The sequence below is a fragment of the Homo sapiens genome, chromosome 3 (genome assembly GCF_000001405.40).
Source record: "Homo sapiens chromosome 3, GRCh38.p14 Primary Assembly".
Classification (NCBI taxonomy): Eukaryota; Metazoa; Chordata; class Mammalia; order Primates; family Hominidae; genus Homo; species Homo sapiens.
In genome coordinates, this window is record NC_000003.12 from 128,396,826 (window position 1) to 128,420,934 (window position 24,109).

The following is a 24,109-nucleotide window of genomic DNA, read 5'->3' on the forward strand; positions in this document are numbered from 1 at the left end:
CTGGGGTTCTTTCTGTGATTGTTGAGAACTGGCTGGTGCCCATTTTTGGGCATTTTGGGCCAGACCTCCCTTACACAAGATGGTCTTTTCTGTGTCAGGCCCCCTCTTGGCCATCTGGGCTGCTTTCAGTGCCAGTCTCCACAGTGGCAAGGCCCCGCAGCCCACAGTCCTGGTTGCCAATGGTCCCCCGACTGGTACCCACAACACAGAGGCACCCTGGGCCTCTGCCCTGGAAGTGTTTGGAGACAAGGCCCCACCTGGCTCAGCCCCACTGCCCTGGGCCTGGGAGATGCTGGGTGGGAAGAAACATCATTCTGGTTGGGGGAGTCCCCAGTTGATCCCACACCCTTGTCTCTTGCCATCCTCCCTCCTTCCACAGGAGATGGCTGCAGCCCCCTGCTGCCCCCCACCCATGGCACTGCCATCCAGGCTGCTGTATTCCCTGTAGCCAGACTCTCAGGCCCGTGGCAGGGTGGACAGCTTTGTGAAGCTGGGGCCTGGATGGGAATCGCTGCTCCCTGGCTTCCCAGCTGTTGTGACCCCAGGCAACCACTGGGCCTGCCTGTAAAGTGACTTGTAGGATGTCCTGAGGCTGGAATAAAATGATGTCTTTGCAGCCCCTGGCTGAGTGGGAGGCATTTGGAGGAGGCTGCTAGAAAGGCAGTCACTATGAGGGTGGCAATGGTAGCAGCAGAGGGGACCTCTGGCCAAGCCGCATCCCAGCTGCCAATCTGCAGAGCCTAGCTTGCCCAGGGCTGCAGTCCAGTGTCCTTCCCATCCAGACACTTGTCAAACCTCAGCCCCGCCCAGGGCCAGCCAGAAGGGTCCCCAGAAGCACAGATGCACAGGCTCACCTTCCGGAAACTGCCACTGAAGCAGCTCAGCTCTGGCCCAGCTGGCCTCTACTCATCAAGTGCATGTCTTATTCTCTCTGGACGGAGGAGTCGGGCATCCACCCAGCTGCTCTGGCCCATGGATGGGGGGCATGAGCCCCAAGGGAAGGGGCCAGGCCCAGGCCTCCCTACTGATTCCTCCTCCTAGTTCTGGGCAGGCAGGCTCACTGCCTGCAGGGATGACAGGAAAGTCTGTGCAGTCCAGTTCTCCCACCTCTGCCATCAGCCCAGCTGGTAGGTGGTCGGCAGACCTGCTCACCCCCCAGCCTCTGTGCACTGACAGGACCCTGTGGAGGCTGTCAGCCTGGAGGAGGGTGATGAGGAGCCCAGAAGGTGGGTGGGGGAGCTCTGACCCCATTGGCAGATGAGGTGGGGTGCACACGGGCTGAGGTCACCAATACTGCCCCTTCCTGGCATTGCTGGGCTGTGCAGGCCCTGACTATCTCTGGGGGCATTGGATCTGTACTCAGGGCAGAGTGTGGGGGGCCTTGGCCCTAGGGGAAGGCTGGGCAGGCGTCAGAGAAGGCCAAGCCAAGATGCTACAGAGCCTTGTGCCGAGAGAGCCAAGGGAGACAGAAGCGGGCAAGATAGACAAGTGTCATGGGTTCCCCAGGCCGAGGGAGCGCCAGTCCCGAGGCTGGGGCAGTGCTGAGATGGAAGAGGAATGTGTGGTAAGGATGTGCAGGGCTGTAGGGGCAGCTTCTGAGGGACTCCTTAGAGGAATTGGGACCCTGTCTGAGTGGTTGTGAGGGACTGAAGAGGTCTTCAGTGAGCAGCTGAACTGAGAGGAATGTTGGGGTTTTGTCCTAGAAGAATCTCTGGCAACAGCACTAAGGACAGACCAGTGGGAGAGGGTCCTGGCCACTCATGTGCAGGAGCCCCGTGTCCGGGCCCTGGGGCAGGGACCTGCCCCTGCCGGGCCTGCAGGGACACCTAGAGCAGGAGCCTCCAAGGAGCCTGTGGCAAACCACCTTCTGAGCTGTCCCGAGAGGCTGGGCAGGCGCCCCACTCGCAGCTGTGTGAGCCCCAGCCTGAGCTTCTGGCCTGCACAGCAAGGAAGGTAACCTTTGGGGCAGGGCTGGCTGCACTAGGAATGCACCTCACGGAGGCCTCACAGCCACTCCACAGGGTGGGGGATCCCATTCCAGAGGGGTAGGCTGAGACTCCGCTGATGAGGGATGGGGGCTATCCCTGCAGCAGCCCCTTCAGGAGGCAGCTGGTCCAGCCAGTCCCAGAGGGACTGAGAATTTAGGACAACAAACTTTCCTCCGCAGAGGCTGCCCCTCCCTGTATAATTGAGACTCAGGGCCAAGTCATTTTCTGCCTATTTCAGAATGGATTTGTTTTTTGCCTTAAAAAATAAATAAATAAATAAATAAATAAATAAAATAAAAAAAAACCCTTCCATCCGCATAATGCACTGGTGTTCCCTCCCCACGCTCCCCAATCTCCACAGCTTTGACTGCATGATAATTTCAATTTACATGGTGCGGGAAAGATTTCTGCAAAGGGCCCTTTTTTGTTTTTGAAGAATTCATCATTGCTGCTAAGAAGCTTAATGTAAATTAAAGGAGGAATTAGGCAACATTAAGACATCAAAATGGGGGTGCGGGGCGCTGGTTGCCTACGCTTCCGCCCAATCAAAGGGGTGCATGAGCCCGTCGAGTGCGCGCTTGAGAGCCTCGGAAAGAGCGAGGCTCCTGCGAAGGGCCCGCTCCGCCGCCTGCTTCCCCCTAATTCCTTTTGTTGCAGGGACAGCAGAGTACAGGTCTGATAAAAACTTAATCACCTTATCTTTTTAAAGCAAATTGCATCTTTGTTTACATACGGGATCCATAGCTGGGAGGGAAGGAGAGAAAACCAAGGAGCCGGCCCCCCCCAGCCAGCGACGTTAAAGGCTTTAGCTCCCCAGGAAAACAGAAGAGCCCAGCCTGACAAAGAGGTGGCTGGAGGATTCCAGAGTCGCTGTCACTGCTCACAGAGGAGACTGGTGTCAGGGCTGTCCCCTCTCAGGGAGCGCTCACACTGGCTCTCTCTGCCCACCTGGCTCTCCCCAGCCCTGCCAGGCCTGTCCTCCTGGGCCTCTCTGTCCCCAGCCGGGTCTGTGTTAGAGCTAAACCCTCATCGCCTCTGCCTGTCCTCCGGGCCCGGGCTGCCCTGCCCTGCTAGCAGGCAGAGGGGTCTGCATTCAGACTCAGCTGCACCACAACTGCCAGGAAGCCAGGGCAAGTCATTGCAGCTCCATGAGCCTGGCTGGCCGCTGATAGATGGGGGTGTTGATGTCAACCATAGCCTCCATGCGTTTCAGACATGACCGCCAGGCCCCACATTAGGGACACTTCTGCCCTTGCCAGGTTCCCCCTTCTTTCTGTCTCCCCACCCCTGGCCTTGGGGGCAGCTCCCTCTTGGCCAGGCCTGCCTCCAGCCACGCCCTGACTTAGAGGTCTCACTGGAGCACTGTGCCACCCACACACCTCCGTGACCACCTGTGGCCTGTGCAGGGCAGCTTCCTACCTTGGGGTGGAGGGGAACTTGACATTGGAGCCCACCAGCACCCTGTTGAGGGACAGGGCTCCACCCCAGCTGCCCCATGGCCCCTGCTGATGGGGGTGGCCTTGCTAGGCAGCCCCTCCTGTTCCTAGGGCCCAGTATCCAGTTCAGACTGGAGCCTGGCTGAATCCAAGGCCCTCTGTGGCTGTCCAGCCTGGCCATCCCATATATCAGCCCCACCTGCCATTTAGGCTCCCAGCTGTCAGTCATCACCAGGATGCTGACCCCAAAGAGATCCCCTGCCCCTGGCTCTGGCTCTCTTCCAACCCTCTCCAAAACTGCTTGTTTACAGCAGTGGGTAGTGCTGGAGTGACTAGAGCGGCCCCAGCCCCACAGGGCCACAAAGGGGCCAGTGACCCCAAGCTGCTTGCAAGGGTTCAGTTCCCACTGGGGCATGCAAGCCACCCACCAGCGTGGAGACCCCTCTTCCAGTCTGGCCCCCAACATGAAAGCAACGCCAGCAATTGGAGGCAATTTGCCGGCCTTTGATGGCCATGTCAGGGCGGCACCATGGCTAGGGCTTGGGAAACAGTTGTGCTTCCCGCATTCTTCCCTGATTACCCCAGCCCAAGCCAGGACCCGGCAGCCTGCAGCCCATTGTGCCTTTGTGTGGAGCTGGCGCTTGGTGAGAAAGGGCCAGCCTGGCCCTGGGAGAGTGTCTCCACGGGAAGCCATGAGGAGCAGTGTTGCCCCCAGGGTCATGGCCGCCCGCCCCCACTGCATCCTGGGGTTTGGGTTCATCAGGGGGTGGAGCAGGGCCATAGGCTCCGAGAATCCTGAGGTTTGGGAAAAAAGAGGCCCTACTGAATGACAGACGTACATGTAGCACACACACACCCTAGCCCACCCTGCCAGGTAGAGAGCCACCCTCCAGCACATGGGAGAGGGACCAGGGGGCCAGGTCAGCCTGAGACCCGAGCCTGGACTTCTTTCTCCCTTGGGTCACTCAAGGGCAGACAGGTGTTTTCTGGTCCTGGAGGCAGGGGTCCTGCCCTGCTGGGGCATTTTTCTTCCCTCCGCTGTCCTGCACCCCTGCTGTGAGTGCTTGTGAGGATGAATCCATACTCATTCCCTTTGTTTTCATCAAACCTCCCTGAGCCCGTGTGCTAGGCCCTGCACACAATCCTGGAGAGGTGCCCCCTCACAGGCCACTGGGGGAGGCAGGCATATAAGGCAATGACAGCCACAGTGGTGCTGGGCAGGGCACCCAGGAGGATCTCACTTGGCTGGGCAGCTGAGGGGCACCTTCCCAAGGGGCAGCATCAGAGTGTGAGCATGGCAGGCAGAGGGAACCACACATTCCAAGGCCCTGCTTGGCTTCTTATAGCTGAAGCATGGTACATGATGGCGTCAGAGAGGGAGGAGGGGTGAGGCTGAGAGAGAGGCCAGAAAGAGAATAGACGCTTCTGTTGGTGGAGCCAGGTCTAGATGTCTGACCCGGACCCTAGAGCAATCCTTGGGATAGCCAGGTGGGATGAGGGAGGAGGCAGCGAGGCAGGGCTGGAGGACGGTGGATTCCTGCGCCCACACCTCCCAGTCGTTGCCCTTGATGCAAGCAGCAGAGCAGCAGTGTGGGGACCTTGAACTTCCAGCAGCCATGGAGGAGTCATGAGCATCACCACCCCTACCTTACCTCTTGTCCCTGTCCTTCCTGGGCAGACTCAGAGCATGGCAGAGACAGCACCATGGGCCTAGAGATGTCAGCGAGCTTTCTGGCCCTCCCTCCCCTCCCCGGCTCCTGTGTGCCATGGATTGAGCAGGTTCCAGCCAGATTGCACCGGTAGGCACCGTGCCTTCTCTGGGCTCCCAGCTGGATGCCGGAGGCCACAGTGATGGGGGGCCTGTAATAGACATCCCCCTGTGAGTAACCCAGGGTCACAGTAGAAGCCTTGGGAAATACATAAAAGAAGAAAGAAGGAACAGTGCTTGCAACCCACTCCCGACCCCTGACAGCCAAATGGACAGTCTTCCGGTCTCTTTTCCCTTCATCCCAGGGCTGCAGCAGAATTCTTCCAAAAATTTTGATTGCTGCATTTTTTTTGAATCAGCATTATAACATAGGTCTTTCTTTGTGTAACTTTAAACTCTTCTCAGGTATCACTTTTAGTCCCACAGAACATTTTGCTGCAGCAAATAGATGCTGGATGGGTCTGCTGGCCTCCCTTGGTCTTAGAGGCCCTTTGTAGTTCTCAAAAACGTGCCGCTCCCTTAGTGGGTAAGCAAACGGGCTTGGGAATCAGATAGCCTGGCGTTCCCGCTCTGCCTGTAAATAGCCGTGTGACCTTGGGCAAGGTACTAACTCTTCTGTGCCTGTTTCCTCAACACGGTGTTACGAGAGGATTCAGTACCTCCGTGCTGTGGGGACATCTTTGTGTAGAAATCTTCTGCCGTATCTCAGACCACTTGTTTGGACCGAATTCCTAGAAGTGCCTTTCTTAGTTCACACTGTGACCATCTAGGACTTTGTCCCTCCCAGGTTGTCACCAGCCAGTGCTTAAACAGCTGCCCTTCAGGTTCTTGGAAAACCAGAGCAGTTTGCCCCTCAGCCCCAGCAGGGTCTCCTCCAACGCTTATTTGGAGAGTGTTCTCTGAGTATCCGCCACTCACCAGCAATCACTCCAGGTGTTAGGGTTACAACAGTGAATAGACAAAACTCCCTGCTAGGGTGGAGCTTGTCATTTCAGCAGAGGCAGACAACAAACCCAAAACAAGGACATCATAGAGGACATTAGAAGGTGATAAGAGCTATAGGAAAAATAGTGGGGTGAGAGGGGGTCAGGGGAGCATGAGGGGGTTGTAGTTCTAAACAAGGGGGTCACAAAGGCCTCACCAAGAGGTGACAGTTGTACAGTGACTCGAAGAAAGTGAACCTGCAGCTGCCGGAGCTCCCAAGTCCACAGGCGGAGGGATTGGCAAAGACAGGGGCCCCGAGGCAGAGACAGGCCAGGTGTGCCTCCCAGGTGGGTCTCCAGGCAGAGGGATTGGCAATGACAGCAGCCCTGAGGCAGAGACAGGCCAGGTGTGCAGAAGGGCAGCGAGGAGGCTGACACAGGGGCGGGGCTGTGAGCCAGGGGCAAGCAGAGGCCAGAGGTCCAGAGCAGCCCCCAGTGCAGGGAGGAAGATGGGGGCAGGACTGCACCTCCCTGACAGCGTAGGTCCTAGCAGAGCGGGTGGCAGAGCAGGCCCTGTCCTGCCTGCCTTGGAGACACAGGGCCTGCAGGAGGTAGACACCAGGCAGATGGGCAGTCGGCACTCAGCACGTGGCCTTGTCACCGCCTTCCCGCGTACTCTGACCCCAAGTCAGAATGGGGAGCCTGGCACACAGGGCACCGTGTGGACATGGTGAGCTGTGGTCACCCTGGAGCCAGGCCCTCGTACCGCACCACGCATGGCACACGCCTTCATCTGCCCTCAGCGCCTCTCGCATACCCTAGGAATTGTCACTCAAATTCCCTTTGCCTGTGGATCCGTGACAGCAATATCTATGGCTGGTCCCCGTCATCTGGCCTTGGGTCCAGCATTCCTCCTCCTCCTCCTCCTCCTCCCTTGGAGCATGCTGAAGCAGCCCTGTCCCCACACAGTGACTGCGGTGCTGTTTCCTTCGCCACCCTTCTGCTGTCTGGAGATCTGGCTGCCTTGTTCACTGTCTGTGCCTTCTTAGATGAGTAAACTGCATGGGAGCTGGGCCCTGGTCTGTGCATTCACCACTATTTATCTCCTGTTCTGGCATGTTCCCTGAATATTTTTAAGTGAAAAGGCACAGAGGCAGGTTGCGAGAAGCAGAGAGTGGGACCCGCAGAGTCTGGCTGGGTGGGTAGCAGCTCTTACCACGTGACAACCTGGGTTGCTCTTCACTTCCCTATGTTTGCCACATGGCTAAGAAAGGAAAAAAAAGGCCACTGGGAAAACAAAGCAGCTCCTGGTGACATTTGCCACAAATCCATGCTGCCCCATGTCCAGGTCTCCCTTTGGTCAGGCTTTCCAGGTGTGGCTTCCCGGCCAGTCCATAATAGAGCAGAGGTAAACGAGCCTGACCATCTCAGGAGAGCAATTAAATGGCCACATCTTCACCAGTGCCAGATAGACTTTCCGGCTCTGCCTGCTCCGGGCAGTGCGAGGTATGCATTGTGTGTAACGAGAGCCATCGCGGGTGAGATGGACTGCCGATTGGGCCACGCCTGTCTCCCCAGCCCAGCACAGACGCCGGGGAGCCCCACGCCTTCTCAGCCTCCAGACCTCCTGGCACCAGAGGGAGACGGGCTGCCCATGCCATTTGTCGGGGTCTGCTGCCAGCTACCTGCTCTGTTTGCAGAAGGAAGGCCAGGCTCTGATTCAGGGAGTCAGATACCTACAGGCCAGGCGCTCACTTGAGGGGACTGGCCAGGGTCCTCCCCATGCCCACACTCTGTGCCCCATCCCAAGCGGGGGGCAGACCACCTAGGTATGGAACCTGCAGAGCAGACACCGCTCAGGCTCCAAGTAAGGTATGCTGCTCACAGGGAGCGCTTCCTTAATGCAGGTCCCCAAGGCCATAGTGTCACATGTCCCTCAGGCAGGCGTGCAAGGGCCTGGCTTCTGGAGCCCCGTTCATATCAGCTGCATGTCCTCAGTCTTCCCAGGGGACTCAGGCTTTAGATGGCCAGTAATCTCACTTCCGCCTGCCAGAGGGAGACCGGACCCTTTGTGCAGTGGGGCAGGCTGTCCCTGGCTGACTCTACAGATGGCCTCTTTATCCAGCACCCTTGTCACTTTTTTTTTTTTTTTTTAAGACTGAGTCTCGCTCTGTTGCCCAGGCTGGAGTGCAGTAGCGCAATCTCGGCTCACTGCAAGCTCCACCTCCCTGGTTCATGCCATTCTCCTACTTCAGCCTCTCGAGTAGCTGGGACTATAGGTGCCCGCCACCACGCCCGGCTAATTTTTTGTATTTTTAATGGAGACGGGGTTTCACCGTGTTAGCCAGGATGATCTTGATCTCCTGACCTCATGATCCACCCACCTCGGCCTCCCAAAGTGCTAGGATTCCAGGCATGAGCCCTTGTCACCTTTTTAAACATCTAGAGCTGCAGGGCCAGTGCACGATGCTCTCACAGCCTTGAGAACCATTGTCAGAAGCCCTCTGAAAGGGGTATCCCCCACCCATCACTCTGAGTGGAGAGCAGAAGCTGGCTTTGCCATTGGGTAAGGGCTGTAGCTCAAATCCTGGCTCTTCTGAACTCACTGTGGGGCTTCCAGTAAGTCACTGGCCTCTTAGACCTTCATTTTCTCATCCGTATAAAGAAGGGGTGGCCAACATCTTCAGGAAACTGAGCCAGAAATAACCCACACAGCCCCGCCAGCCAGCGCTCCCAGTCTGAGACGACAGGCCAGGGCCCTCCGGACTGAAGCTTGATGTGCGAGCCTTATAGCTGCCTTGACTTTTCAGGGACGAAGCTAGTACTGGGCAGGACTGGGAAAAGGGAGGAAAATTCTTCAGGTGCCAGCAGGTGCAGTGGCACAGGTGCCAACGGCACATAGGAAGCTGGGCCCTCTGCCTGTGCCTCTGCCCAGCTTCCTCCCTGCTCTGGTCCTCTAGGTTCCCAGCCTGTACAGGCCCTTTGTGCACATGGGGAGGGGATCCTGGTGGGACACCTCCTTGGCAGGCAGGGTATGGGCTGCCTTCACCCCCACCTGCCCTCAGTGCCTTCATACCCAGCTGCCCCTAGCAGCAGTCTCAGGAGCCACCACCCACTGGGGCTCCCTGTCCCATGCCACTCTCACAGTGTCCCCATGAGCTTGCTCCCACCAGGACCCCCCAGTGGGGCTGTGAGGCTCACAGAGTGAGTGCTTACACTGAGGTGCTCTGCCAGGGGTGGAACTGCTCCGAGCCCTGGGCCCACCCACTCCCACAGATGCAGAGGAGCCTGCTAAGTGGTCTCACCCTGGCCAGTGGCCCACATGGAGGCTGCACCATGCTGCCACCAGGAGATTCCTCATGAATACAAGCCCCACAGCACAGAAAGACAAATGCTGATGATCTCACTTACATGTGGTATCTCAAAACCCAAACTCATAGAAGCAGAGGGTAGAAGGGTGGTTGTGGGAGCCTGGGGGTGCAGGCTGGGGTGGGAATGGGGAGATCTTGGTCAAAGGGTTCACAGTTTCAGTTAGACCAGAGAAATCGATTCAGGAGATCCGCTGTGCAGAATGGTGACTGTAATTAATAACAATGTGTAATATTCAATGAAATTTGCTAAGAGAATAGATTTTAAATGTTCTCATCACCAAAATAAGTATGTGAGGTGATGAATGTGTTAATTAGTCTGATTTAATCATTCCAAAATGTATACATATATTAAAACATCATGTTAGACTGGGCAACATGGCAAAACCCCATCTCCACAAAAAAATGCAAAAAATCAGCTAGGCATGGTGGCACGAGCCTGTGGTCCCCACTACTCAGGAGGCTGAGGTGGGAGGATCACTTGAGCCCAGGAGGCAGAGGTTGTAGTGAGCCAGGATTACACCACTGCACTCCAGCCTAGGCAACAGAGTGAGACCCTGTCACACACACACACACAACACACACACAAATATATATATATACACATATATATACATATATATACATACATATATATATATTACACTATAAATATACACAGTTTGTCATTTGTCAATTTAAAAATGAAAAAGACAAGCTCCAGAGAAAGGGCAGTTGCAGCAGCATGTTTAAGGATGAGTGGGACTTCTATTGCCTAGAATGGGAAGGGTGTTCCAGGCAGAGGGAACAACACGTGACAGGCTTGTATGTGCAATGAGGAGCCCAGGAATGGGCCATGATCAGCAGGGCTGCAGAGACGGTGCACAAAGGCAGAGAGTGGTGAAGATGGAGGTGTTGGAGTGGGTGCGTGTCGGGGCATCAGCAGAAAACAAATTTCCACTCAGGTGTTCAGCTGGAGGGAGTTGAACAAAAGGTCTTTAGTGAGGCGTGGGCTGGTTAAAGCAACTCATAGAGGTAGCTGGAAAGCGGTGGGGGCTGCACCCACCCAAGCCTGGGGGCGGGGCTGCGTATACCCCTGGCAGAGGATCCCGGGATGAGCCACTGACTCTGTGAGCCCCATGGCCCCACTGGGGTGTCCTGATGGGAGCAAGCTCTCAGGGCAGTGGCAAACTGAGCCGAGGGGGCACTGTGAGAATGGCGTGGGGCAGGGAGCCCCAGCGGGTGGTGGTTCCTGGGACTGCTACTGGGGCAGCTGGGTATGCAGCCTGCATATCCCACTGAGGGCAGGTGGGGGTGAAGGCAGCCCAGGTCCTGCCTGCCAAAGGGAGCCAGGGATACACACCCTGACTGCCCTCTCTTCCCACACTCTGGCCTGTTGGGGCTTCCACTGCTAAACCTGGTCGTGCTGTCTGCAGGGGTCAGCCTCCCAGGCACACAAGAGGGTGGAGAAGTGGAGAATGGGTCTCCAGAGGCAATCAGGGAGTACCCCACCCAGGGAGCCTCAGATGCCGAGTTTCCAGACGTGGACTTGGCATGAGTGCACTGGAAAGCAATGGACCACTCGGCACAGAGCAGCAGTCCCTCCAGGGCCTGAGCACGGGGGTGGTGAGCTGAGGCCCCAAGAGGCACAGTGCCCTGCTGTACACCTATCAGATGGGTGCCGGAGGGACCAAAATGTCAGAATGGACCACAGGCCTCAGGGCTGATTGGCTAGGGAGGGAGGCAGAAGAGGGGTGAGTCTAGGCAGCAGGTGCGCGGGCAGGGAGCCCACGGGTGCTTGGGGTACGGCAGAGTGACAGGCTCTCTTCTGTGCCTTGCAGGTGGCCTCAGCCCCGAGTCCAAGAAGATCCTGACACCCGCCCTCAAGAAGCGGGCCCGGGCTGGCCGTGGGGAGGCCACCAGGCAGGAGGAGAGCGCCGAGCGGAGCGAGCCCTCACAGCATGTGGTGCTCAGCCTGACTTTCAAGCGTTATGTCTTCGACACCCACAAGCGCATGGTTCAGTCTCCCTGAGTGTCCGGTGACCTCCCCCAGGGCCTCCTTGCCCAGCCCAGTCCAGGCTGCTGTGCCAAATCCCAACCAGCCACGCCTCAGCCTCTCCCAGTCTCTCCCTGCAGTCCTGCAGCAGCAGCCCCCACCCCCAAGCTTGGTGCTGAGCCCTGGTGAGGAGCTGAGGGGGATGGGTTGCTGGGGCCAGGAGGGTCTCTCCTCCAGCCCCTGCACACTCCCACCCAGGACAGCCCCCAGCCCAACTAGGAAAGGGCCATGGGCAGAGGGCTGGTAGCCAGTATCTTCCACTGCCCCATCTGTTGGCCACCTGCAGGCCAGTCTCAACCCTCCCCCAGGTGGGCAGGCACTTGATGGCTACAAATAAATGTCCCGTGGCCCCAGCCCACTCTACTGGTGTCTCTCTCTCTGTGACTTCACTAGGTCCGCCGCCCTCCCCAGCTGTGTTCCAAGGGGAATCTCAGAAATCCCAAGAGTTCCTGCCCAGGTCGGGGCCAGGGAAGGGACCCAAACTCAGAGTCTGTAGGCTGTGGGAGTCTGCAGAGTGTCTGCGCTTCTCAACCCCACTAGGTGGCTCCTGGGGCGCTCTGGGCCTTCAGGGAGAATGGGGATTCTCTGGGCAGCTGGGTCCAGGGAAGGTACCCACAGGGAAGTTGGGGAATAGCAGGGTGCCTGGCCAGAGCATCAGGCAGAGCAGGTGGAGGCTTGTTCCTCCACCCCAACACGAGGAGTCCCTCAGCCCCTGCCCTCAAGTTTGAGAACCACATACTTCCCAGAAAGTGGAGGCTAGCATGGTGAGGGCACCCTGCAGAGCCATCTGCCATCCCCTGCACCCACAGACCACCCTGCCTTGTAGCCCCAGGCTGTGGGATACTCAGGAAGGGGTGAATGGTGGAGTCAACAGACTGAGGGGAAATCAAAGCTTTTAGAGACATTTGCAGGATGAACAGATGTTCAAACGTTCCTTTATTTGGTCTCCAGACAGACGCAGAGGCCTCCCTTTTATCCCAGTAATCGGTGCATTATGCTTTAATTTGCAAATGGCATTAAAAATATTAACAGGGGCAGGTTTCGATCAAATGACTTGGGCCTGTTAAGCCCCAGAGCCGTGTGTGTGTGTGTGTGTGTGTGTCCCGTGTGCACGTGGTGGGTGGGGAACAGGCAGTTAATTAAATACACCAACAGCAGAGCAAAGCCCCCGAGCTGCAAGGATACCAGCGATGGCGACTGGCCCAGCCACCCTTCGTCAACCTTGGCCCAGACCCAGGCAGCAGGGCTGGAGCAGCAGTCAAGGGCAACAGCTGAGAGCCATGGGGAAGTGGGGTTCCCAGTTCAGTCCCCTGAGGGGATTGGCCCTGGAGGAACGTGAGAGAGAGTGTGGCCCCGGTGAGCGTGGCCTCCGCGGCTGCTGCAGGCTGCGGGTGCCAGGGCGGCTTGTCTGCACTGTGAATCAGGACAGCCCTCTGCCTAGGAGCCGACTCCCCCTCTACTGCCGCTGCCTGAGCAGACACTTCCTGGGACTGCAGTGGCCCCTCTCCCTGGGGCCTGACCCCACTGTGTGCTGTGCCCCGACCCCACTGTGTGCTGTGCCCCACGGCCTCCTCACCCTACCTGGCCCTGCAGACTGTTTCACCAGGAAGGCAGTGCCACTTCACTGAGGCCACTCCGCCCAGGAAACTGGCAGCAGCTTTGAGCCCACACCAGGCTCCCTGCTAGCCTGCTGGTCCCCCAGGGGAGGGCAGCCCAAGAAGGGAGCAGACCTCCAGGAGGGCTTCAGTCAGCACCGAGCTGGGCTCACAGCCCCCAGCCTGTCAGTCCCTGGGGGCAGGAGAGGCCCCTCTGAGCACTTGCCAGTGCTGTCCAGGCTGGTCACCTCCCAGCACAGATCTGGGAGCTGCTGGTGAGGGCCAGCACTGGGTCCGAACCCAGCTCCAAGGACTCACTTCTTAGGCGAGGAAACCTCCCTCCTCCTCAGTGTGGGGCTGAGCTGGGAGCCAGGCCACACCCTCCCTGACCGCTCCCTCCCCAGCCCCCTCAGAGTCCCTGCACATTGGGACAGAAAGCTCTGAGCTCAGCCCCAGGTCCTGGCCTGCATGGGCAGGGTGACCTTGGGTGTGTCACTGTCCCTTTCTAAATGAGGGGTGATGTGACCCAGTGGAACCACTGTGCCAAGCATGGGGTTCCATGGAAGCTGTCCATGGGAGCTTCCATGGGAGCCATGGGAGCTGGCTCTGGGGCCAGATCAGGTGTGGAGGAAAGATGAGCACACAGGGCGAATGTGGCTGCCGCCACCAGGGCACAGATTCAGGCCTCTCCCTGCCTGCGGTGTGAGCTTGGGCAAGTTCCCTAACCTCATGCCTCAGTGTCCCCATGTATAAAATGGAAGAAGAAAAGCAGCCATGCCAGAGGGCTGCCCTGGGGGTGGGAGACTTGCCAGGCACACTGCTGACCCCACATTACCTGCGGCCCTAGGGTGGGCCCCACACATCTCCCACTGAGAGGCAAAAGGCCCAGAACCCCTCAGGAAGTGACACCAGCCCCAAATAAGCCGTTTTTCCAGGAACTCTGTGCAGGCGTCCACCTCCACCCCACCTCTCACCTCCCTACTGGTCTGAAGACCGTGCTCCTCAAAGTCCCGGGAAGGAGGGGGCTCGGGTGGAGGAACTGAGGCACAGAGGCACAGAAGGGAGGAGGGGCAGCCCAGGGCGACTCCCAGGAGCCTCTGAGCGCCCTGAGTGTGTAATGAGGCGGACCTGCTCTGTGTGGCCTGAAAACGCCCAGCCGACTGCCCCAGGAGAGGCCTCTATCAGGCCCGGCATCGGTGGAAACCCGAGCGTCCATTAGTGGGGTCGGGCCAGGGCGCGCAGCCTTTGAAGGTGCAGCCTAGCCGGGACGGTGGGCAGGAGCTGGTGCCAGCACCCGCTTCTGGCTGAGGCCAAGGTGTGGGCATGCACGTCCCCTTCCCTGGCTCCCCCGTCCCCCAGGATGCCTTGGGCAACCCCAGGCCCGCGTGTTTTATGTAGGAGAGGGTTCCAGTGGGCCAAGCTCACTGCAGCCACCGACACAGGTAAACTCACCGAATCTGCTCATCTACCCACAGCAGTGATGTGGCAGCAGCATGCCGGTTTCCCAGGGGTGTGGGCAGGGCAGGGCTTGGCTGCCTGCAGCTGCCCCAGATAGAGCTGGAGTTTGAGTCCAGGCTCCAGGTTCTTCCAGAGTCCCTTGCCCACCAGTGCTTCAGGCGTGTCCTTGGAAAAGAGGTGCCCTCTGGGGTCCTCTGTGGGCTGATGGGTGGGGTGGGGCATGGGGCAGCAGTGCCCTGGGCCCCCTCACCTGCCTGCCCACATGGAGTGAGGTCATGGACCGACATCCTGCCATGGGCTGGGGCAGGAGGGGCAGCGGTGATTGGCAGGCCCCCGACCAGCAGGGCTAATGCACAAACGAAGAGATAAGGCTTATCTGGAAATGTCCCTGGAATCGAGACTCTGATGGAAACAGGCTTCTGGGTTAATATATTTTCAATAGATAACGTCTCGTAAACGGGAAGCCCTGGGGGCCTGGGGCAGGAGAAGGGGCAGCTTCCGTGCTCCCAGGCCTCCTGCCCTGGCCATGCATGTGCATGTGCGCACACGGGCTTTGGTGCACCAGGCATCTCCAAGCCTGTGCTGACGTCTGGGTGTGCATCTGTGCACATGGATCCGCGATGTCTCAGACGTGTCTGCATGTGCTCCGTGTGTGTTTTGGGAGGGTTGCGGTGTTTGTCAGTGTGTGTATCTCTTTGGGTGTGGGAGTGGGGTGAAGGAGGATCGAGTCCAGTGTACACAGGGTGGTGGCAAGTTCCCTAACCTCATGTCTCAGTGTCCCCATGTGTAAAATGTGCCTCAGTTCCAGTGTATCCAGTGCTAGTTTGCCCCATGGGCAAAGGGCATGCAGGTTAGTGGGGCCTCTTCTCCAGGACTGGGTGGGATTCAAGGGAGGCTTATCACTCTATTCTACAGGAAGCATACCAGGGCCAGACCCCTGTCTGGGGAGTGCAGGAGCCTGTCAGTCCGAGCTCACTCTGGAGTTGGTCCCGGCCCTGGCCTCCTCTGCCGAGCAGCCTCCATGTGGGGGTTAGCATCTCCAGATTCCCTTCCAGAGACCAAGGCCAGCCCCGCTGACAGCCTCCCAGCTCCTAGTTCAGCCTTGTCTGTCCTCTGAGGCAGGGACTGGGGAGGCCTCCTGCCAAGGGGCTGCATGGGCAAGGTCTTGAAGGGAGAGTAGGAGTTTGCCAGGGCAAGGAAGGGTGGCACCTGCCAGAGGGAACAGCAGAGTGAAGGCTGTGGCGAGGAAGTGCTCGCTGGGGCCCGTGTGCCTGCTTGCTGAGGAGGGATGAGGTCATAGCTCCAGACCCCCCAGCCCCTGCTGCACCTCCAGGAGCCTCCACACAGGCAGCCCAGATTAAAAAGAGTAATTAGCATTTGACTGATAACGGGGTTGAGCCATTAATTAGCCTGCTCAGCCGGCACCAGGCTTGGCTGCTGGGAGTTGGGGCGGAGGCAGCAGTGGGTGCTGGGAGTGGGGCTCGCAAGGCTCTACAGGGGCTCCATTCCCTTTGCTGAGCACTGGTGATGCTCGGGGAGGTGATGGGGGCGCTATGAACAATGTGGCCGGACCTCGGGCAGCCAGGGAGGCCTAGAAGGCTGTCTGCTGGGTGTGGGAGGCCTTGGAGCCCCACAAGGGCACAGGCAGGGGGATGGGGCATGGTGTCCAGTTGGGGTTTCAAGAGACCCCTCTGGCCTCCTGAAGGAGCCAATGGCAGGGCCTGGAGGTCAGGGCTCCCCCACCCCCAACACAAACAGGGGGCAGAGGCCATATGGGTTGGAGAGGACCTGGGACCAGTGGTTGGTGATTGGATGTGGCAGCCGAGGGGAGGGGACAGTCCGAGCTGAGGCCTGGGAGGAAGAGGACGTTTGGGAAGGCTCGGGGATTGAAAACAGAGAGGTGAAACTTGAGAGGAGAGGTACGTTTGGGAAGAGGCCCCAAGTTGAGTGCTCGAATATTTATGAGGCCTCCTGGGTACAGGCCCTGCCACTGTGCTGGGGCACCAGTGGGGGAGACGGAGACCCTGCCCGCATCCCAGCCTTGTGCTCCCTGGGGCAAGCCCAGTGCAGGGACCTCAGAGGGCACTGGGAGGGACAGCATGGACCCTAGATCACTACCTCCCACCTGGCAGTGTGGCCTGCGGCCCCCTCTGCAAAGGAGGCTGTCGGGCCGGCCCCGAACCCCTGGCCCACCCAGGCCAGCAGGTTGTAGGTCACATGGCCACACCCCTGGAGCCCTGAATGAGGTGTTGCTCAGTCCCCACGTGCTCCCCCCACGTTATCACTGGCCCCCATGAGGGAGACAGTGCAGCAGAGAGAAACGGCCACATCCCACAGCCACAGGTGAGGCCTCTAGGTCAAGGCCTGGCTGGGAGCCCAGGCTGACCTGGCCCTGGGGCACGGTGCCAGGCCTCACCCCCCAAGGTCATTCCATAGACTCGGCCCCGAGCCTCCAGCATCCCACATAGCCACCACCTGGCGGGCCCCAGCATCCGTCTCCCCTGCAAGGCTTGCACAGCCCAACATCACCTGTGGGAGGAGACCCCGTTGGCAGGGCCAGTCCTGTGGAGCCACCTGAAGAGGCACAGAGGCAACGGAGCTGTGGCCAGCACAGTGTGTCCCAGCAAAGGGCCGCCGAGGGGCCGCTGGGCCCAAGGCAGTCTCCAGTCAGCCGCTTGGTCCTCCAGCTCCGACCCGCCTGTCTTCACTGCCATCTGCCATCACTTCCTCTGCCTCTCTCTGGTCCTTGACGGACAACCCTGCCTCCCGCCAACGTCTAGTTCACCTCTTCCCTGTCCATGCCCTGAGGCTTGGGGCCCCAGCCCTAGAGTGATGTCTATCTGGGACCCCCGGGCAACCTACCAAGGTAGAGGCAGGCTGGAGGGTCTGTGGGGTGTGGTTACCTACAAGTGGACCCCGGGGCTCTCTGGAGCTTTCTCCTCCCACTCCCTCCCTCCCAAGCTTCCACCCTGGGCCTGCCCCCATGGCAGCCACTCTCTGCAGGGCCCTCCCTGCTCCCAGCTCTTCAGCTCCTTCTAGGGTACCTGAGGACGCAGGGACCCAGAGGACCTTGAGCTGGGGGTAGAGAAAGGCAAGGGGGGAGCGGAGCCAGGCCTTCCTCAGAGGCCCAGGCAGAGGCCCTGGAAATTCCCCAAGGACTCCAGAGCTGGGGCTCAGACCAGGCTACAGAGGCCAAGTTCCTGACCCTTCCCCATCCCTTCCCGGTTAATTACCAAGAAAGACTCTCCCAAGCCAGTTACCCACACTGTCCCCAGACTGTCATCAGCACCACCACCATCACTAAGCTCACCATCATTCCATCATTTAACGTCACTACTAACGTCAATGCCATCATCACCTCATAGCGTAACTAACTTCACCGCCATCATCATCAGCATCACCAGCGACCTGCTCAGATTGGTTTGGGGAAGACATGTCTGGAGGCCGACAGGGAGGAGCATGACACAGTTTGCCAGGAGGGAGACGCCATGCCCAGGCTCGGGCAAGAGGGAATGGGGTGCGAGTGGGGCCATGGCTGGAGTCAGTAAAGAGGAGGAGGAGGCAGATTTGAAGATGATCCCAAAGCTACATCAGCTGGCCTTGGCACTGACTGGATGATCGAGGGGAGGCCAGACTTAGGGGATCCAGGGTCCCTGGCCAGCCTCTGCCCAGAGTTGCTGGGCACAAGAGATGGGAACCCTGCAGAGGATGGGGTGGGCAAGACACCTTGGCAAGCTTCACTGCAGAATTGCTGAGTCCAAAACTCAGATACCCTTGGGGAATTTGGCTTGGAAAGCCTCTCCCTGGACAGCTGTGTCTTGGGTCTGGGTGGACGCAGAGATGGGTCATTGGCATACAGGCACAGCAAAGGCTATGGGATCCTGAGGCCATGGGGAGGGATAGAGCTAGAGAAGAGACGGGCCCAGGGAGGGCTCTGCGGTGCCAGGGCACAAGAGGACATGCAGGGCCAGGGAAGGTGGGCATTGCTTGAGATGCCCATGGGCCATGGGTGCCAGGCCCAGGGAAGAGGGTGGTGGGGTGGAGCCTCAGGCAGGCTTCCGAAGGAAGTGAGCAGGGCGCTTCTGGGTGGAAGTTGTGTAATGGGTGTGGCATGAGATGAGGCAACCCGCCTCAGATGCAGAGCGATGATAGGGTGGAAGATAGCCAATAGTCAGCAGCGCCTCACTGCCCCAGTGCTCACCGTGGGGGGATCCACTCCCGCACTGGCCAGGCCTCCCCAGGTCTCCCTGCCACCTTGCCCTGCTCTGTCTCCAGGCCTTTGCTGGTGATGCTGCCCTCGCCGCCGGGGCCCATGCTCCACTCAAGCCCGCTTCTCCCTCAACCTCGGGGCTCTCGCACAGATGGCTCTTGATGGGCAGGGTGGGAGGAAGAGAAGCAGGTTCTGGGTCCTGTGCCACCCGAAGGACAGTGCTGCTCCAAGGAAGGTCTCCTGGCCGGCCTCTTATGGATGGGTGGGAAGGAGAGGAGCGGTTTTGGGACCCCTGCTTCCTGGAGTTCCTCACAGAGGGGAAACTGAGGCAGGGGAGGGGTTGGTCCTCTGCCCAGTCCCCCAGCACAGGGAACCTTTGGGGGGAAGTGGCTGCTGCCAGCTGATGCCTGTGGGAAGGACTAGCCCAAGCCTGCCAGGTCCTGGCACAGAGCAGGCGTTGGGGACCAGGGTCTGGGTGCCTGTGTGGACACACTGACCAGGCTGCGGCCCAGCCCTGCCTCCCACCATGGACAGCTGGTTGGGCTGCCGATAAGGAGAGACGGTTGCAGAGTCACCAGGCCCCGATGATAAGACAGACAAGCATCTCCCGGTGGCCGGAAGGTGGGGGAGGGGCCCACCGGAGAAGCACCCACATCTTGGGTGGGAACACAGAGGCTGCTGGTTCTGGGCAGGGCCCACCCTGCCCCTGGGGGCACAACAGCCCTCCCCAAGGCATCTGGGCAGCTGCCGACACAGTGCAGCAGGGCCCCGGCCTGGCCCACCCTGCAGGACCTCCCCACAGCGGCCCTGCCCAGCTCCAACTCCAATCCCACCTCAGCCCCGCCCAGCTCCACACGCAGTCTCCTCAGGGTTCCCTCGCACACCAGGCCCTGTCCCCCTCCGTCTCTGCTCGGCCATGCCCCTGCCTGGAGCACCCCCACACCATGCCCATCTCCCGCCCCTTCTTCCAGGTGCAGCAGCTTGTCCCTGAAAGAATGAACTGCTGGTGAGGAGAGAGGCTTATGGGAAGTTGGGGCTGTGACAGAGTGGGAGTGGGGTGGCAGGGGACACACAGGACAGGTGGGTGTGTCCTTGTGGAAGGGGCCTAGCATGTCATGGGGTTCTTTTGCTGGAGACATTGGGGCTCTCTCTTCTTGCCGGGGTTGCAGAGCTGGACAGCATGAACTTGAAGCCACTGTAGCCATCCTGTCCCCACGAAGGGAATGAGGTCCACAGCACAAAGGGGTGAGGGCCATGCCGAGAAAGGGCAATGGAGAAATGAAGAGATGGGTTCCTGCTGGCCCCATCTGAGCCCTGGATCCAGCTATGCCTGGAGCTCACCCCTGTGTCATGGGAGGCCACACATTCCCTCTGTTGCAGAAGCCTGGTGCCGCGGGTTCCTGCTTTGTGACTCAGAGAGCGATCGTGGTGGGTGCGGTCAGCCATGCCTCTCACTGTCCCAGCAGGGTTCCTGACCAGCAGCAGGTCCTGTTGCTTCACCTTCAAAGCCTGTCCCGAATCAGTCAGCCCCCACCCCATGGCCACCAGCCCAGCCAGACCCAATCACCTCCTGCTTGGACCATCACAATTGCCTCACCCTGGTCTCCTGCTCTGCCGGCTGCAGCCGGAGAATCCTGTTAAAACGTGTCAGGGCCCCTCTTCTCTGTTGTAAACCCTCTCGCCCGCACCTTCCTCAGGGCAATTGCCAGAGTCCTCACCATGACCCCCAGGCCCTGCACGACCTCCCTGACCTCCTCTGCCATCTCCCCACTCCTCCTAGGTCTCCAGCCTCAGGAGAGGGAGCCCCTGCTCCTGGATGTCCCAGGTACTCCCTCCCGCCTCAGGGCCTCTGCACACAGCTCCCGCTGCCCCCAGCTTGCTCCCCACCCATTCTTCATTGAGCAGCCCCATTGCCCCCAGCCCCGCAGTAAAAATCCACATTCCCACCCGCTGTTTCACCCTTCTTTCTAGCTGGGCTCTCCCACTCTCAGCATTCTGCCTGTCGACCTCATTTACTGCCAGTGTTCCCATGGGAAGGGGGCTCTAGGGACAGGGGTTTCTGTCCTTTTGCTCACTGCTGTGTCCCAGTGTCAGGCAGAGCACCCAGCACATGCCTGGCGCTCCACACACAGGAGCACTCGGGCCAGTGGGAATTAAGTGAGTTGTTCCATGCAGGGTCCCCATAAATGGAGCTGGTCTCATTATTGCCGTAACTGTTACTGGCCACACTGTCCTGGCCTGCAGACCACGGTGACCTTCATCAACAGTGACAGGGCATGTGCACTCCGGTTCACATGTGCTGAGGTGCCATGCTGCACCCCAGGTCCTGTGCCCAGTGCTCCCTGCTGACCTAACAGAGCCAGCACCCCCATTCTCAGCCCCCAGCCAGGACCCGGGGGCCTTCCCAACCTTCCCCAGCCTTGCCAGCCCACCCTATGGCCCCAGGGGCCTTCCCATCTGATTGGGTCACTCCTCCGCTCCCCAAAGGGTGAAATCCAAGCCCTTACCTCGGCATTCTGGACTCTAGGATGTGGCCGGCACCTCCCAAACCCACCACGTGCCCACCACTGGAGTCCCCAGACCAGACTGGGCCTGCGCCTCCCTCTGCCTACGCTGATGCCCTCGTCCAGTCCTGCTCCCTCAGCACCCCCTCCTCACCTGTCTGCACCCGCTCATGACCCAGCTCACGGCCCCTCGGTAAGTGCAGTTTTCACCTCCTGCTCCAAATCTACAGCCCAGATGCAGTGTCTCTGCCAAGGCTCAAATCTGCCTTTCCAGCCTGGCTGTTTCCCCAGGACTCCACGCACCCACCTGTGCCTCCTCTGTGCTCCCAACAGCAGGCGGCTCTGCCCGACTCCTCTCCTGCCCCCACCACCCCATGCCCACACCAGCAAGGCCCAGGCCTTCTTCCAACACATCCCAATCTGACCTTCCCCCATTCTGCTGCACCACCCCAGGCCAGGCTACTCCCTGGGATCACACCTTAGCATCCCCCGTGCCCCACAGACTGTCCACATACAGCCACAGGGAGCCTGTCAGTGATGGCCATTCCCTGCCCCCACTCTGCCCAGCACCCCCTACTCTGCTCACACCCCAACTCTGCCCAGCACCCCCCAACTTTGCCCAGCACCCTTGACTGTGCTCAGCATCCCTGATACTGCCCAGCACCCCTGTGGCCGGGGTGCCCTGACTCTGCCTAGCACCCTGACTATGCCTAGCACCTCTGATTAGCACTGCTACCAGGATTTGGAATGAGGCACATGCAGGCACTGAGTTGGGGTTGGTCACCCCTCAACTTATCAGTTGCTATTCCTCACCCTGTCTCTGGACCTCTGCCTCTGCCCCTGCTCTCTGGGCCCCTCTGTGCCATCCCCTCAAGACTAGGGGACATCACATGTCCCTCCCTGACTCCATCCCAGTCAGTAATGCTCTTCATCCCCATACAAATTAAAGCAACAAGGAAGTGCCATTTTGCATTGGTCAAACTGGTAAAAATTTTTAAAGATTGATAATATCAAGTGTTGGTGAAGAGTGAGGGCAGTGGGAATTTGATGCTATTAGGAGTGGACTTCACACAACAACTCTGGAGGGCCAGCTGCCACGTCTATTAAATTAAAAATGCATGGGCCCCATGAGCACAAGCACTCACTCACATGTGTGCACAAAGAAGTGGGGCACGGCTGCTGGTGGCAGTCCTGCCTGAAACAGGAGAAAAAAAATGGCAATGTTCATCAGTAGTGGTGTGGACACTGAAACAGTGCTGTGTGGCCATAGAGTGAAATACTCAACAATAGGTAAAGGAAGGAAGTCTGAGTGTCCTGTGGATAAATCCTGAAAACAGGTGAAAAAAGTTGCAAAAGGATACGTGCAGAATGATGCTGTTTACATTGAACAGAAACTCCACAAAGTGATACTGTGTGTTCTGTGAATGCAGGCATGGATATTTAACTACATGGAGAAAGGCGTGCAAGGATGTGCTTCAAACTGACCACCAGGAGCTGCCAGCAAGGGGGGTTAGGAAGGGCAGTGGTGGGAAAAGGGCACTCAGCCTTATGTTTTCATTTTGTTCAGAGACTGTATCTGTGCATTATTCACAAACTGGAGGTGAGCGAGGGAAAGGTTCTGTGCAGCCCAGAGGTGTGCAGGAATAAGAGCCACACCGGCACCTCCTTGCTCACAGCCACCCAGCCCTTGTTTCCTGGAGACCAGGTCTCTAGTCAGTTAATGAAAGACTAGCCCTGTGTGGTGAGGCCCCGACACATCTCTGTGGCTGCCCTGGATCCCACCCTCAAAAGCCGTAGCTCTGGGGCCAGAGACAGATTGCAGGAGGAGGCCTGGGGTTCAGACACCCCCATGGGGTTTGTCATGCCTAGGAGTTCACTCCTGAGTCCTGTGATGGCCGCAGCGGGAGGGGGGACAGCCAAGACCCAGAGACAGTGAGAGTAAGGGAGAGCAACAGAAACACAGAGAAAGGCCAGGAGAGACAGAGACAGTGAGAGGCGCAGAGACATGGAGACGGGAAGAAAGAGTGAAAGGGACAGACACAAAGAGAGACAGAGAGAAAAAGAAGTAGAGGGGGAGAAACAAAGAGAAAACAGACAGAGAGTCAGAGAGGCCCCGCGCAGAGCAGGAGAGGGAGGCTGTCACACACGCGCGTGGCTCCGCCTGCTTGGATTGGTCAGAACTGACTGCAATTAAAGCCCATAATTGATTCCCTCGGATGACGAGGATCATTTCAATGCAGAGAATTAAGGTTTTCTTCCAAGATGAAAATAAAGATTAATTTGCAATTTCCTTCCTCACTGCACATGTGAGAACGGTCCCTGCTGGGAGGAAAGCTCAACCCTGGCAGGTGGGCTGGGGGCGCCCTCAGGGCCTGAGCCCACAGCCTCCCAGGAGAGGGCACAGCCTGGACCACCTGCCTCCTTGGCTGGCACAGAGGTGTGGGCGCCCTGCTCAGACACAGGCCTCCACGCCTGGGATCCCTGCAGTTGGATGGGACTGAGAGAGGCCAGGCCCATCAGGCCTCTACCACCTTTGACGAGCCCTCCACGTCCTTCTTTCCTTGCAGGCCTCATCAGCTCCTTTTCCTGGGAAGGACTCCCCAGTTCCCGAAGCAGAGTCTGATATGCAGAGCCCCAGTGAAAGATGACAGGACAGTACCGGAGGGGAGAAGTGGGGGCCCCAATACTTCTCTTCCCTCCCTCCAGGGCCCCCTGCTCCTGCCACCCTGGCTGGGCTCCCTGAGCTGGGAAATACACACTGGAGTCTAGCAGGGTGCTCCCCTCCAGCCCAGGCCCCACTGTGCCCCCTCCTCTGGGGGTACCTCAGGCTTGGAAACATATGCAGGTTCCAGAAGCGGCGGCCCTTGCACCTGTCCGGGACCTG

At 58.8% G+C, this 24,109-nt stretch overlaps 1 protein-coding gene across 8 annotated transcripts in view, besides 10 other annotated features; it reads left to right on the top strand.

Annotated features, from left to right (window-relative positions):
* The window catches only part of EEFSEC (eukaryotic elongation factor, selenocysteine-tRNA specific), a 272,743-nt gene that overhangs the window by 243,345 nt on the left and 5,289 nt on the right, over positions 1-24,109 (top strand). For 7 of the 8 annotated variants that reach the window (NM_001437809.1, XM_024453693.2, NM_021937.5 and 4 more), the window contains one exon: positions 11,244-11,821. The exons of the other annotated variant lie outside the window; for it this stretch is intronic. In NM_001437809.1, coding sequence (NP_001424738.1) covers positions 11,244-11,434 — 191 coding nt within the window. In that variant the 3' untranslated portion in view covers positions 11,435-11,821. Of the gene's footprint in view, positions 1-11,243; positions 11,822-24,109 lie in introns of those variants that run through there. 8 annotated transcript variants of the gene reach the window in all.
* Positions 2,402-3,196: an enhancer, noted in NCBI's record as "H3K4me1 hESC enhancer chr3:128118070-128118864 (GRCh37/hg19 assembly coordinates)". NCBI's record gives its function as "activates a minimal SCP1, AML or CMV promoter by ChIP-STARR-seq in naive H9 embryonic stem cells {active_cell/tissue: H9 hESC(naive)}" and the evidence as "EXISTENCE:reporter gene assay evidence [ECO:0000049][PMID:30033119]".
* Positions 3,197-3,991: an enhancer, noted in NCBI's record as "H3K4me1 hESC enhancer chr3:128118865-128119659 (GRCh37/hg19 assembly coordinates)". NCBI's record gives its function as "activates a minimal SCP1, AML or CMV promoter by ChIP-STARR-seq in naive H9 embryonic stem cells {active_cell/tissue: H9 hESC(naive)}" and the evidence as "EXISTENCE:reporter gene assay evidence [ECO:0000049][PMID:30033119]".
* Positions 4,787-5,580: an enhancer, noted in NCBI's record as "H3K4me1 hESC enhancer chr3:128120455-128121248 (GRCh37/hg19 assembly coordinates)". NCBI's record gives its function as "activates a minimal SCP1, AML or CMV promoter by ChIP-STARR-seq in naive H9 embryonic stem cells {active_cell/tissue: H9 hESC(naive)}" and the evidence as "EXISTENCE:reporter gene assay evidence [ECO:0000049][PMID:30033119]".
* Positions 10,409-11,290: an enhancer, noted in NCBI's record as "H3K4me1 hESC enhancer chr3:128126077-128126958 (GRCh37/hg19 assembly coordinates)". NCBI's record gives its function as "activates a minimal SCP1, AML or CMV promoter by ChIP-STARR-seq in naive H9 embryonic stem cells {active_cell/tissue: H9 hESC(naive)}" and the evidence as "EXISTENCE:reporter gene assay evidence [ECO:0000049][PMID:30033119]".
* Positions 12,472-13,120: an enhancer, noted in NCBI's record as "H3K4me1 hESC enhancer chr3:128128140-128128788 (GRCh37/hg19 assembly coordinates)". NCBI's record gives its function as "activates a minimal SCP1, AML or CMV promoter by ChIP-STARR-seq in primed H9 embryonic stem cells {active_cell/tissue: H9 hESC(primed)}" and the evidence as "EXISTENCE:reporter gene assay evidence [ECO:0000049][PMID:30033119]".
* Positions 14,777-14,962: a transcriptional cis regulatory region, noted in NCBI's record as "candidate enhancer chr3.3676 targeted for multiplex CRISPR interference". NCBI's record gives its function as "positively regulates GATA2 gene expression in K562 cells {active_cell/tissue: K562}" and the evidence as "EXISTENCE:mutant phenotype evidence [ECO:0000015][PMID:30612741]".
* Positions 15,696-16,991: a transcriptional cis regulatory region, noted in NCBI's record as "candidate enhancer chr3.3677 targeted for multiplex CRISPR interference". NCBI's record gives its function as "positively regulates GATA2 gene expression with high confidence in K562 cells {active_cell/tissue: K562}" and the evidence as "EXISTENCE:mutant phenotype evidence [ECO:0000015][PMID:30612741]".
* Positions 16,018-16,819: an enhancer, noted in NCBI's record as "H3K27ac-H3K4me1 hESC enhancer chr3:128131686-128132487 (GRCh37/hg19 assembly coordinates)". NCBI's record gives its function as "activates a minimal SCP1, AML or CMV promoter by ChIP-STARR-seq in naive and primed H9 embryonic stem cells {active_cell/tissue: H9 hESC(naive and primed)}" and the evidence as "EXISTENCE:reporter gene assay evidence [ECO:0000049][PMID:30033119]".
* Positions 17,457-17,524: a transcriptional cis regulatory region, noted in NCBI's record as "candidate enhancer chr3.3678 targeted for multiplex CRISPR interference". NCBI's record gives its function as "positively regulates GATA2 gene expression in K562 cells {active_cell/tissue: K562}" and the evidence as "EXISTENCE:mutant phenotype evidence [ECO:0000015][PMID:30612741]".
* Positions 18,350-20,750: a transcriptional cis regulatory region, noted in NCBI's record as "candidate enhancer chr3.3679 targeted for multiplex CRISPR interference". NCBI's record gives its function as "positively regulates GATA2 gene expression with high confidence in K562 cells {active_cell/tissue: K562}" and the evidence as "EXISTENCE:mutant phenotype evidence [ECO:0000015][PMID:30612741]".